Raw genomic sequence first — 14,787 nt, forward strand, 5'->3', positions numbered from 1 at the left:
AATCAGAGTTTTTTTTTTAACAAGGCTACCTATAATTGATAACATTTAAAAAAATAATTTGATCTAAGAATTATTGAATAATAGATAAAGCCAGCTTCAATAATTAGTAACAAAAGGGTGAGTTGTGAGATTCAATTAATTTAACAAGCATATATCAACATTTACATTACAAAGATTCAAAGACTTAAGGGTACCCTGCCTTCAAAGAGTTTACAGTTGAGTAGTAGAGGACTATATGTAAAGAAATAATTACTATACATTATAATAAGTGAATTAACAGAACTACCCACACTGAACACAGAAGAAAAAACGACTTTCTCCCTCTGGTGAGTTCAGGGCAGGTTATATAAAATGAAATATATTTGTAGTTGACTATTAATGATAATGGAAGTTTTACACATAGGCAAAGAAGGGAGACTGTGGATTATTGACCCCCAAAATACCATCAGAAGTATATTTTTTCCAATGGTAAGTGAGGCAGAGTGATTTCTCTTCACTCTAATAATAATAGATAAGAAAAATCCACCCAATCTGTCATTTATAAAACCTTGTACAAAGCTTAAAAATGACAAAAGCCATTGAATGTTTTAATGTAGAAGTGACAGGACAAGATATGTGTTGCAGAGAGAAAAACAGAATCAACATATGTAGATAAATATTCCATTTCCAGTAGTGCCACCAATGTGCTATAAATCATTTAGTTTTTTTTCTGCTTCACTAATCTATTTTTCTCTTTATTCTCTTGTTTCTCTTTAGTACTACAATTATTTTTATTATTTCAACATTTATTTTAGAATCAGAGGGTACATGTGCATGTTTGGTACATTGGTATATTCCAAGATGCTGAGGTTTGAAATAGGAATGATCCCATCACCCAAGTAGTGAGTGTAATACTCAATAGTTTTTCAACCCTTCACATCTCCCTCCCTCCTCTTTCTGGTAGTCTCCAGTGGCTATCATTGCCATCTTTATTTCCATGAGTAGCCAGTATTTAGCACCCACTTATAAGCCAGAACATACGGTATTTTGTTTTCTGTTCCTGCATTAATTCACTTAGGATAATTGTCTCCAGCTTCATTCATGTTGCTGCAAAAAGACATAATTTCATTTCTTTTTGTGGCTGCATAGTATTTCATGGTGCATATGTGCCATATTTACTTTATCAAATCCACCATTGATAGACATCTAGGTTGATTCCATATCTTTGCTATTATGGATAATGCTGTGATGAACATACAAATGTGAATTTTTTTTTTTTTTTTTGTAGAACAATTTATTTTCTTTAGGGCATATACCTAGTAACAGGATTGCTGGGTTGAATGGTAGTTCTGCTTTAAGTTATTTGAAAAATTATCAAACTGTTTTCCACAATGGCTGAACTAATTTACATTTCCTACCACAGTGTATAATGGTTTCCTTCCTCTCCATAGCCTCTCTATCACCTGTTATTTGACTTTATTATTATTATTATTATTATTATACTTTAAGTTCTGGGGTAAATGTGCAGAACGTGCAGGTTTGTTACATAGGTATACATGTGCCATGGTGGTTTGTTGCACCCATCAACCCATCATTTACATTAGGTATTCCACCTAATGCTATCCCTCCCCTAGCCTCCCACCCCCCGACAGGCCCCAGTGTGTGATGTTCCCCTCCCTGTGTCCATGTGTTCTCACTGATCAACTCTCACTTATGAGTGAGAACATGCAGTGTTTGGTTTTCTGTTCTTGTGTTAGTTTGCTGAGAATGATGGTTTCCAGCATCATCCATGTCCCTGCAAAAGACATGAACTCATCCTTTTTTCTGGCTGCTTAGTATTCCATGGTGTATATGTGCCATATTTTCTTAATCCAGTTTATCATTGATGGACATTTGGGTTCGTTCCAAGTCTTTGCTATTGTGAACAGTGCTGGAATAAACATATGTGTGCCTATGTCTTTATAGTAGAATGATTTATAATGCTTTTGGGTATATACCCAGTAATGGTATTGCTGGGTCAAATGGTATTTCTAGTTCTAGATCCTTGAGGAATTGCCATACTGTCTTCCACAATGGTTGAACTAATTTACACTCCCATCAACAGTGTAAAAGTGTTCATATTTCTCCACATCCTCTACAGCATCTGTTGTTTTCTGACTTTTTAATGATCACCATTCTAACTGGCATGAGATGGTATCTCATTGTAAGTTTGATTTGCATTTCTCTAATGAGCAGTGATTATCAGCTTTCTTTCATGTTTGTTGGCTGCATAAATGTCTTCTTTTGAGAAGTGTCTGTTCATATTCTTCACACACTTTTTGATGGGTTTGTGTTTTTTTTGTAAATTTGTTTAAGTTCTTTGTAGATTCTGGATATTAGCCCTTTGTCTGATGGACAGATTGTAAAAACTTTCTCCCTTTCTGTAGGTTGCCTGTTCACTCTGATGATAGTTTCTTTTGCTGTGCAGAAGATCTTTAGTTTAATCAGATGCCATTTGTCTTGACTTTTCAATAGTAGTCATTCTGACTACTGTAAGGTGGTATCTTGTGGATTTGATTTACATTTCTCAGATAATTAGTGATGTGGATCATTTTTTCTTGTTTATTGGCTGTTTGTCTTCTTTTGAGAAGTGTGTGTTCATCTATGCACACAAACTAGAAAATATAGAGGAAATGGCTAACTTCCTGGAAACACACACGAACTCCTAAGAGTAAATCAGGAAGAAATTGAAACCCTAAATAGACCAATATTGAGTTCCAAAATTGAATCAGTAGTAAAAAATCTACCGACCAAAAAAAGCCCTGGACAAAATGGATTCACAGCAAAATTCTACTAGACATATAAAAAGAGCTGGCACCAATTCTACTGAAATGATTCCTAAAAATTGAGAAGGAGGGACTCCTCCCTAACTTATTCTAGTAAGCCAGAACCACCCTGATACCAAAACCTGGCAAAGACACAACAAAAAGAAAACTACAGGCCAATATCCCTAATGAGGACAGACATAAAAATCCTAAACAAAATAGTAGCAAATCAAATCCAGCAGCATGTCAAAGAGTTATTTTACCATGATCAAGTAGGTTTCATTCCTGGGATGTAAGGTTGATTCAAATTACTCAAATAAATGAATGCAATTCATCACATAAACATAATTAATGATAAAATGCTATATGATCATCTCAATAAATACAGAAAAGCCTTCAATAAAATCCAACATCCCAACATGATAAAAGCCCTCAACAAGCTAAGAATTGAAGGAATATATGTCAAAATATTAAGAGCCATTTATGATTAATGCATAGCCAACATCATGAACAGGCAAAAACTGGAAACATTCCCCTTGAGAAGTGGAACAAGACAAGGATGCTCACTCCCACCACTGCTATTTAACATAGTACTGAAAGTTCTAGCTAGAGCAATCAGGCAAGACAAATAAATAAAAGGCATCCAAATAAAACAAGTAGTCAAACTATATCTCCTTGCTGACTACATCATTGTATACCTAGAAATCCCTAAACACTCTGCCAAAAGGCTGGTGACTAATAAACAACTTCAGTAAAGTTTCAGGATACAAAATTAACGTACAAAAATCAGTAGCATTTTTATACACCAATAATATTCAAGCTGACAGCTAAAGAGTGTGATCCCATGTACAACAGCTACACACACACACACACACACACACACTACCTGGGAACACATCTGTCCAAAGAGGTGAAAGATCTCTACGAGGAGGCTGGGTGCAGTGGCTCATGCCTGTAATCCCAGCACTTTGGGAGGCCAACATGGGCGGATCACGAGGTCAGGAGATCGAGACAATCCTGGCCAACATGGTGAAACCCCGTCTCTACTAAAAATACAAAAATTAGCTGGGCATAATGGTGCGTGCCTATAGTCCCAGCTACTCGGGTGGTTGAGGCAGGAGATTCGCTTGAACCTGGGAGGCGGAAGTTGCAGTGAGCCAAGATCGGGCCAATGCCCTCCAGCCTGGCGACAGAGAGAAATTCTGTCAAAACAAACAAACAAACAAACAAACCTCTACAAGGAGAACTACAAAACACTGATGAAAGAAACAATAGATGACACAAACAAATGCGAAAACATTCCATGCTCATAGACTGGAAGAATTAATACCATTGAAATGTCCATACCACCCAAAGCAATCTACAGATTCAACACTATATCTATCAAACTACCAATGTCATTTTTTCACAGAATTAGAAAGCACTATTGTAAAATTCACATGGAATCAAAAAAGAGCCAGAATAGCCAAAGCAATCCTAAGCAAAACAAAACAAAACAAAGCTGGAGGCATCACATTACCCTACTTTAAACTGTGCTGTAAGGCTACAGTATCCGAAACAGCATGGTACTGGTATAAAAACAGACACATAGATTAATGGAACCAAATAGGGAACTCAGAAACAGAACTGCACACCTAAAACTATCTGATGTTCAAAAAAGTCAACAAAAATAAGCAATGGGGAAAGAACTTCCTATTCAATAAATGGTGTTGGGATAACTGGCTAGCTATATGCAGAATATTGAAACTGGACCCCTACTTTTTACCATATACAAATATTAACTCAACCTGGATTAAAAATTTAAATGTAAGACATTAAACTATAAGAATCCTAGAAGAAAACCTAGGAAACACCATTCTGGACTTTGCCCTTGGGAAAGAATTTATGACTAAGTCCTCAAAAGTAATTCTAACCAAAACAAAAATTGATGAGTGGTACCTAATTAAACTAAAGAGATTCTGCACAGCAGAATAAACTATCAACAGTGCAAACAGACAACCTACACAATGGAAGAAAATATTTTCAAACTATTCATCCAACAAAGATCTAATATCCACAATCTATAAGGAACTTAAGCAATTCAATAAGGAAAAGTATTTTCTAAGCTAATGCAATATGCATAACATTTTACTGGGCCAAAGTCTTTCTTTTATTCTTTGTAAAACACTGAAACTTTACAAGATTGATGTTTAAACTTATTTTGGGCTTCTCAGATATAAGTTCGGATTTCTTTGTGTTATAATATGATTTTAAAAATTATATTTATGTTTGCTTTGATACTGACAGTAAATTTGTGTTTGTGTTATTTTCTCATAAAACAATCTATAAGATCATGTTTTGGTGGTAAGTCTGAACATAGATTGCTTGTAGAATGCTTCTCTTATGCAAATGTGCAAAAAGTAAATACATTTATGATTTATAGAGACTAGATTTAAGCCACAGTTTCCTTCATAAATTACTTATCCTATGTTTCCTGAAGGTGTAAACATTAAATTTTAAGTGCATGTGAAAACAATGAAAAATTACTTTTTTCGTGAAAAGTGTTTTCATTCACCTTCCTCAAACAGTCTTAAACTGCCATTTATGTTAAATACCAATGATTCAATTCCATGACAGGAACACAGACAAAACAGAATTGCAGGGACTGCCACCTAAAACAGCTTCTCAACTGTATGTATTTTTGATGTATCATCCTTCTGAATAAAAGATCACAAGCGTTTTTACAATAAGCGCTCTGGATTGTTGAGGTGATTCTTAAAGGGTTAAACAATGAATGATCTATGGTAATTCAAAGGAAAGTATATTTTAATGGCTAAAGGTTCCTAGAGATCAGTTACAATAAAAAAGGAATAATGGAATGAACTGAAGTAGACGGAAATGGAAGGTGGAATTTGGTGTCATGTGAGCTAGTAATTAGTTTTATTGCTAGTATTTAAAGTCACTCCCTGCTTTGGCCACTCTCCCTTGAATGTTTATTTCCAGTTAATAGTCCGACATGAACATCAATTACTTAAATTGATATTGTTATTAAGATAGTCTTAATAGCTCATAAGATTGAATACATTTCCCCTTTTTTGTTTTATTAGAGCATATTTTATTTAAAAACATTATAAATTTAATTTAAAACATAATCTCATGCCTTCATAACATTGACTTTCTAATGCTGGCTTTTTTTTTTTTTTAAGTAAAAGAGGAAAAAGCTGCTTTAAAGAAAAACATTTAAGGAAAGATTTTGAAAATCTGGATATCCATCCTGATACATGAGAACAGAGTATTCCAGAGAAAATTTCAAGCTGGGAAGGCCAATAAGAAATTATCTTGAAAGGTGCAGTAATCAGATTGACAGAATGAATGCAAATATTTAATAGAACATCAGAAAACTGTAATATGTAAATCTTCCAAAATATTTGCCATAATCAGTAGTATATAGATGCTGTTTTTCAGAAACAATTCATATAAACTATAATGCAGTCAGTTTTATTGTTTCCTCAAGCCGATATGGCACTAATTACTCCCCTACAAGCCTCAGCTGATTTTTTAAAAAACCTAAAACAAGTTTTATTTTTACAGAACATGAAACTTGCTGGCTAAAAAGATAAAGAATGAAAGAAAGTCTTTGTGAACCAAGCAATCTATCCAGAAAAGAGCTAGAGAAAAATTTGCAAGAATTATATATTTTCAAAAATTTCCTAAGACTTTAGACTAGGGGGTATGCTTTATTAATTACAAGGAGGTTAAATACTATTCTCTCAGCAGTCAACAATGATGTATTTGCTGTCTGTCTACTATTGGCACAAAATAGAAAGACCAGAATGACTTGGATACAAATACTGTACTCAAGAAGTTTACAGTGCTTTAAAAATGATTTTATATGTATTTATGTATGTGTGCAGGCATAAATTATAAAATAAAAATAGCCAGAGGAAGATGGCCCTATGACATTTTGTATTAGCCTCCATCAATTCAGTTAACTTTTCCCACCACTTCAAGAAACCAGACTAATGTGTTACAATGGAATCCATAGAAGACCAATACAATAATTATAGTATGTGTGCTACAGTAAGTATGGTAGTTACATAGCTAAATTTCACTCATCTGTGAACCGTAATGAGCTAGATAACATTTCTCTAGGCAGGATGTTGGGGTTAACGTGAAGCATGAGCTACTTCATTATGTGAATTATCAAAGATTGCCAGAAAACCATCGGGAAGTCATGCCTTTCACAATAAAACTTGAAAAGCAAGAACATTTTCCCCATGATCTGAGTAAGGACAAGGACTTGATATGTTAAAGACTTCTGTATGGTAAGTAATAAGATGGTACCCACCACATAGAAACAACCAAGAGTTTGAGAGATCAAATAATATCATAAGGGAAATGACTTGAATTTTGAGGTTTCACAGTCCTTGGAAGCCCATAGTCTACATATTATAATAAAATATATATTTTTTAATTTTCTTATTTCAGCTTATAACAGATTTAATTAATGTTACTTCTTTATTTCAGTTAATTACTTTTAAACATGTAATAAGGCAACAACCTGTAAGTATCAGTGTGTCTCAACTGTGCAAAAGAAACTAAAGGAAAGGGCATTTACTTCATGGACTGTTGTGTCAGAGGGGCCTGAGCAGGTTGATACAGCAGTAGCAAAATTAAAAGAGTATCAACTTCTACATACATTGACTACTCTGCTAAATCTAGTATGGAATTAGAATAATACACATTAACTACCTGTACTTCTTGGGGTGTTGTGATTTAAGGACTTACAAATAAGAGACTGGCAAATGGCTTTTCTTCTTTCTGATTTGTATCTATTAGAACATAGGTAAGAATTTAGAGAGGGAGAATATGCACATAGCCTCCCACTTTAAGCCCAGGAAGAATTTTCTATGACAGGATGTAGAATGTACAAGGAAGCATGAAAGGGTTAGGACAAGTGAAATTTCATGTGTCGACATGGATAAATTTTACTTTCCTGCCTGCCTTAAATCTTGGTTGTATTTCAAAAAGTAAAACTACTGTGTTATTTTAGATTACTGACTGCAATGCTAGTTTTATTTACAGTGTTTCTATTAAGCATAAGCAAGGCAGCAGTTATGATTATTTTATTTTGACAGAACAAATATGTGTGCTATGTAAATTTCTGGATTATGTCTGATATTAAAACAAATCCATATAAATAGATGTTTCTGATGAGACTTTTCAAACAGTGACTGTCAAAGGTTAGCCACCCACTAAGAAGATTTAGATTAAGGCTATAAAAAGCTTGCTTAAGGAATTATTCACTGTTAGAAAGTGGAAAAGAAATTAAATCTGTAAACACAAAAGAAATGGGTGAAATGATAGTACATATATAGTACATGTGAGAATTTATGACAATGTTATCAATGTTCTAAGAATAATAAAATAGAAACAAGGCAAATGGAATACATAATGAATTATTAAACCAAGAATATATGTATTTTTAAATGATGAAAATTTAAAGATGAATAAAATCAGGTTAAAAATTTAATAAACCCAGGATATGGAAGATGGATTTAATTCATATATTCAAATATTTATGAGTACCTACCATGTATTAGGCACTATACTTGATAAGGTGATATAGAAGTAAACAAATATGCATGACAATTACATTTGGAACAGAGGAAAGAAACAAGTAAGTGAGAAGGTACTTTGTTAAAAAGCAATACATCAACAGAAGATTCTGGGAAAATGGCAGCGTGTAAAGCACTAGGAATCTGTCTCCTTACCTAGACAACAATTACAATGGCATAATCTGTCAGATGTAACTATTTTTGGAAATCTGGAGTCCGTTGATGGCTTACATCTTTCAGGGGAAGACTTGGATGGGAAACTGTGATTAATTTTGATTATTTTCAGCTTTTAGCACAAAAGTAGCTACCAATCTTCCACCCCTCAGCACCATATCAAGCAGCTGTCCACATGTTCCTGGTGCAGCTTGAACACAGCTTGTGGAAGCCAGGGTAGGTAAAATGGGTCTTGCTTTCCAAATGTCATAATTTGTGCTCTGATCTCTGATTGTTTCTTCTGATCATAGAGGTACAGACATTGTTGTGAGCTCTGGCTGAAGTGACTTTTATGGGACTTAAAGGGCCAATGAATCCTCCGCCTTTCTTTTTTTCTTTTTGTTTTGAGCACCAGACATTGAAGACTAGAACATCAAAAAGCAACTGCATATTCATGGGATAATGGAATGCCACCATGCATGCCCATGGGAAGGCACCAGCAGAGAAGTCTTGAGAAGACCATAAGTTTATACCTCAGTTTGGTCCTCAGCACAGAGACAGCTTACAACAATCAAAGAAAGAAACAAACAACAAAAAAGGGCAGCAAATCCTGGAAAGGCAGGGAATCTCTTTTCTAGTTATGTTATTAGATTCAAATGTCCAGTTTTCAACAAAAATTCACAACGCACACAAAGAAACAGGAAAGTATGGCCGACTTAAAAATAAATAGGCCAGGTGTGGTGGCTCACGCCTGTAATCTCAGCACTTTGGGAGGCCGAGGTGGGCAGATCACCTGAGGTCGGGAGTTCGAGACCAGCCTGACCAACATGGAGAAACACCATCTCTACTAAAAATACAAAATTATCCGGGCGTCGGGGCGCATGCCTGTAATCCCAGCTACTGGAGAGGCTGAGGCAGGAGAATCACTTGAACCCGGGAGGTGGAGGTTGTGGTGAGCCGAGATTGCACTATTGCACTCCAGCCTGAGCAACAAGAGCAAAACTCCATCTCAATAAAAAATAAAATAAAATAAAAATAAAAATAAAAAAAACAGAAACTGACCCTGAAAAGATCTTATAACAGACCTACTAGACACTTTACAACAGATCTATCTTAAGTATGCTCAAAAAACTAAAAGAAGATATTAGGAAAGTCAAGAAATGATGTATGAGCAAAATGGAAACATCAATAAAGAGATAGAAACTGTAAAACAAAACCAAAAAGAAATTCTGGAGCTTCAAAATATAATAACAGAAATGAAAAAAAATACTAGAGAGATTAAAAGTGTGATTTTAGCAGGCAAAATAAAGAATTAGTGAACATGAGAATAAGACATCAGAAATTTTTTGGTATAAGGTGCTGACAGAAAAAAAAATTAAAAACTGAACAATGCCTTAGAGACCTATAGAACACCATCAGGCAGACCAACATACAGAAAAGAAAAGAGAAAGAAAGCATCATAGAAAATGTTTCAAGAAAAGATGGCAAAAACTTCCCAAATTTAGTGAAAGAAGAATATACACATTAAAGAAACGTCAATGAACTTCAAATGTGATGAATTTAAAGAGACACACATGGAGATATATTATAGTTAAACTGTTGAAAACCAAATAAAAGAGAGAATTTTAAAATAAGTAAAATAGATGTGACTGGTCCTACACAAGACATCCTCAGTTAGATCATCAGCAAATTTCTTTTTAAAAGCTTTGGACACCAGAGGCAATGGGCTAAATTCAAAATGCAAAAAACAAACAAAACAAAACAAATCTCAGGGAGAAATTAAAACATTCCCAGATAAACAAAAGTTGATGGAGTTTGCTACCAACAGACGTGCTCTGCAAGAAATGCTGAAGAGACTTACAGGTTGAAATGAAAGAACACTAGATAGTAACTCAAAGACATATGAAGAAAGAGAGATCTCAGTAAAGATAAATACATGGGCAATTATAAAATATAGTATTGTAGTGATGGTGTGTAACTCCACTTTTAGTTTTTGACAAGTTGTAGAAGAGTAATAAATTACAAAATTATGTATTTGCCTAAAACTAATGTCATTGTAACTTTGGTTTGTAAATCCAAATTTTGTTTTCTACCTGAGACTAGTATATTATAAAATTATTAGTTTCAGTTTTGAACACACAATGTATAAAGATGTTAATTTTTAACATCCAAAACTAAATGGGATGGGGAGAAGCCTCTTAAATAAGCAGAGAGTTTGTATTTTATTGAAGTTATGCTGGTGTAAATTCAAATTGAAGTGCTATAATTTTATAAGATTAAAGATGATTCCCATTATAACAATACAGAAGTTAGCTAAAGAATAAACACAATAAGCAATGAGGAAAAAAATCTGAAACTTCTACTACAAAAAAAATCAACTAAACACCAAAGAAAATGTAGGAAGTGAGAACAAAGAAAGGTATGTCATATAAAAAACAAATAGTAAAATAGCAGAAATCTTTCCTTACCGGTAATTACCTTAAATTTAAGTGGACTAAACACTCCAGTCAAAATTAAAAAGATAGCAGAATGGATTAAACAAGCAAATGAACATAAGCCAACTATATATTGTCTATAAGAGACTCATTTTGGATCCAAAGATTAAAATGGGTCGAAGAGAAAGATTATAAAAGGATATTCCTTGAAAATACTAATAAAAAGTCAGCAGTAGTTGGATTTAATAATATCAGACAAAATGGACTAAGACAAAAAGCTCACAAGACATAATGAAGAATATTATGTTGATGAAAGTTTCAATAAAACATAAAGCTATAACAATTATAAACATGTATACAACCAATAGGAGGCCATCAAAATATATGAAGCAAAAATTGAAAAAATTGAAGGGAAAAATAGACAATTATATGATAATTGTTGAAGACTTCAATACACCCCTACCAATAATGAATAGAGCAATCAGACAGAAGTATGCGAATAGAGGATTTAAACAACACAACAAATGAATTAGATCTAACAGACTTATGTAGAACACGCTATTCAACACTATCCAACAATAGCAGCATATACATTCTTCTTAAGTGCACATGGAATAATTTCAGGATATATCATACATTAGGCAACAAATTACACCTCAGAATATTTTAAAAGATAGATCACACAAAGTACAAGGGAACTTCAAAAATTTCATAACATGGAATTAAAAGATAAGAATTAAAAATATACACTTTATTTCTCAAATAAATTCCATCAAGGTCAAGACACTTTTTAATGTAAATATTAGCCATTTTGTCCATTCCTAAAGAACTGAAGGTGCTGTGAATCTAACCATGTCAATGGTTAAATTGACATTTTTTTTACTTTATTAATGGAAAAAAGATCAATGCCCTTTACAGAGTTTTTGAGAGTAGGAAACAAAAAGTGTCAGAAGGAGCAAATCAAGACTGTAAGGTGAATGACTCATGATTTCCCCTTGAAACTCTCACGAAATTGCTCTTCTTTGTTAAGAGGAATTAGCAGGAACATTGTCATAGTGAAGAAAGACTCTCAGGTGAAGCTTTCATGGTTGTTTTCCTGCTAAAAACTTTGGCTAACTTTCTCAAAACACTCTCATAATCAGCAGGTGTTACAGATGTTCTCTGGCCTTCCAGAAAGTCAACAAGCAAAATTCCTTGAGCATTGCAAAAAATTCTTACCATGATCTTTGCTCTAGACCAGTCTACTTTTGCTTTGACTGGACCCACCTCTTGGTAGCCATTTTGATTGTGCTTTGTCCTTTTTTTTTTTTTTTTTTTTTTTTGAGACAGAGTCTCACTCTGTTGCCCAAGCTGGAATGCAGTGGTGTGATCTTGGCTCCCTTCAACCTCCACCTCCTGGGTTCAAGCGATTCTCCTGCCTCAGACTCCTGAGTAGCTGGAATTACAGGCACCTGCCACCATACCTAGCTAATTTTTGTATTTTAGTAGAAATGGGGTTTCACCATGTTGGCCAGGCTGGTCTCAAACTCCTGACCTTAAGTGATCTGCCCAGCTTGGCCTCCAAAATTGCTAGAATTACAGGTGTGAGCCACCACACCCGGCCTGATTGTGCTTTTCTTCAGAATCATACTGGTAAAGATACGTTTTATTTTCTGTTAAAATTCTTTGAAGAAATCATACAGGATCTTAATCCCACTTGTTCAAATTTTTTATTAAAAGCTCTTCTTGTCTCTGCAGTTTATCTAGGTGCAAAAAAATGTGTCACCCATTGAGTGAAAAGTGCTCAACTTTAATTTTTCAGTCAAAAACAAGTGAGAAGTCTTTGGTATTGGTCATATTTCTACTGTTAATCATTTTCTTCAATTAGAGCACAAACAAATTAATTTTTTTCTTTACAAATTAAATTAGATGAGCCATTGCTGTGGGCTTCATCTTCAACATAGTCTTGTACATGCTTACAGTGATTTTCTTTTCTTTTTTTCTTTTTTTTTTTTTTTGAGACGGAGTCTGGCTCTGTCTCCCAGTCTGGAGTACAGTGACGCGATCTCGGCTCACTGCAAGCTCCCCCTCCCGGCTTCACGCCATTCTCCTGCCTCAGCCTCCCGAGTAGCTGGGACTACAGGTGCCCGCTACCACACCTGGCTAATTTTTTGTATTTTTAGTAGAGACGGGGTTCACCGTGTTAGCCAGGATGGTCTTGATCTCCTGACCTCGTGATCCGCCTGCCACAGCCTCCCAAAGTGCTGGGATTACAGGTGTGAGTACAGTGATTTTCTTATTTGTAAACTGCTCATTTCCTGGGGCATTGTTCATAAACTTTTCATAAAACATCAGTGATTTCATCTTTCTTCACCCAAGCTTCTCCATAAATTAGATGTTTGCTCTTGCTTCAATTTTAGGAGGATTCATGTTGCTCTGATAGAGGCTCTTTTAAAACTGATATCTTCTTCTGAGTGCCTCAAACTAGATCCTGTTTTGACATAACAAATTAATATAATTTTTTTCTGATGCAAATAAATTTTGAAATCCACATTTAGTTTCTAAATAATATGCATTTTCCATGAACATTCTGAAGTCACATATATCTTCTCTGACCACACTGGGATGGTATTAGAAATCAATAATGAGGCCGGGTGTGGTGGCTCACTCCTGTAATACCAGCATTTTGGGAGGCTGAGGCGGGCGGATCACGAGTTCAGGAGATCAAGGCCATCCTGGCTAACATGGTGAAACCCTGTCTCTACTAAAAAATACAACAAAAATTAGCTGGGCGTGGTGGTGTGCACCTGTAGTCCCAGCTACTGGGGAGGTTGAGGCAGAAGAATGGCATGAACCCAGGAGGCAGAGCTTCTAGTGAACCGAGAGCATGCCACTGTACTCCAGCCTGGGCGACAGAGTGAGACTCCATCTCAAAAAAAAAAAAAAAAAAAAAAAAAAAGAAAAGAAAAGAAAAGAAGAGAAAAGAAAGAAATCAATAATGAAAGGAAAACTTGAAAATTCACAAACTTATGGAAATTAAATAATACACCCTTAAACAACCAATGGATCAAAGAAGAAATCACAAAGGAAACTGGAAAATACTTAGAGATTAAACCAAAAATACTATAAGCTGAAACTCATGGTGCATAGTGATAATAGTGCTAAAGAGGAAATTTATAGTTATAAATGCTTACCATAAAAATCAAGAAAGATCTCAAAGCAACACCTAAATTCACAACTTGTAGATCTAGGAAAAAATACAGCAAAAGGAAGAAAATAATAAAGATTAGAGAAGAGGAAAACAAAATAGAAAAGATAAAAAAAAAGAATGAAGAAAAGCAATAAAACCAAAAGTTTACCCTCTTAAAATATCAACAAAATGGACACACCTTTAACTATATGTACTAGGAAAAAATGAGAGAAGACTCAAATTACTAAAATCAGAAAGGAGTGTGGGAATATTATTACTAATTCTATAGAAATAAAATTGATGAGAAGAGGTCACTATAAGCAACTGCATGCTGATAAATTGAGTAACTTAGATGAATTGGACATACTCCTAGAAACAAATATCTAACAAGACTAAATCTTGAAGAAATAGAAATTTGAATACAACAATAACTAATATGGAGATTAAATCAGTATTCAAACATCTCTTGATAAAGAAAAGCATCAGCTCTGATATCTTCACCAATGAATTCTACCAAATATTTAAAGAACACAAATCTTTCTCAAATTTTCCAAAAAATTAAATAACATTCTATGAGGCCAGTGTTATCTTGATACCAAAGCCAGCCAAAGACACTACAAGAAAACTAAAAACTAATGTCCCTGATGAAT

At 34.4% G+C, this 14,787-nt stretch overlaps 1 protein-coding gene across 2 annotated transcripts in view, besides 1 other annotated feature; it reads right to left on the reverse strand.

The window, feature by feature from the left end:
* The window catches only part of SEMA3A (semaphorin 3A), a 536,949-nt gene that overhangs the window by 475,838 nt on the left and 46,324 nt on the right, over positions 1-14,787 (reverse strand). The gene's annotated exons all lie outside the window — the stretch shown is intronic.
* Positions 5,708-5,877: an enhancer, noted in NCBI's record as "experimental_100336 CRE fragment used in MPRA reporter constructs". NCBI's record gives its function as "activates a minimal promoter by MPRAs in K562 erythroleukemia cells, with activity observed for both the introgressed and non-introgressed 7:84066723 variant alleles {active_cell/tissue: K562}" and the evidence as "EXISTENCE:reporter gene assay evidence [ECO:0000049][PMID:34662402]".

Source organism: Homo sapiens, chromosome 7 (genome assembly GCF_000001405.40).
Source record: "Homo sapiens chromosome 7, GRCh38.p14 Primary Assembly".
In the NCBI taxonomy this organism is placed as follows: Eukaryota; Metazoa; Chordata; class Mammalia; order Primates; family Hominidae; genus Homo; species Homo sapiens.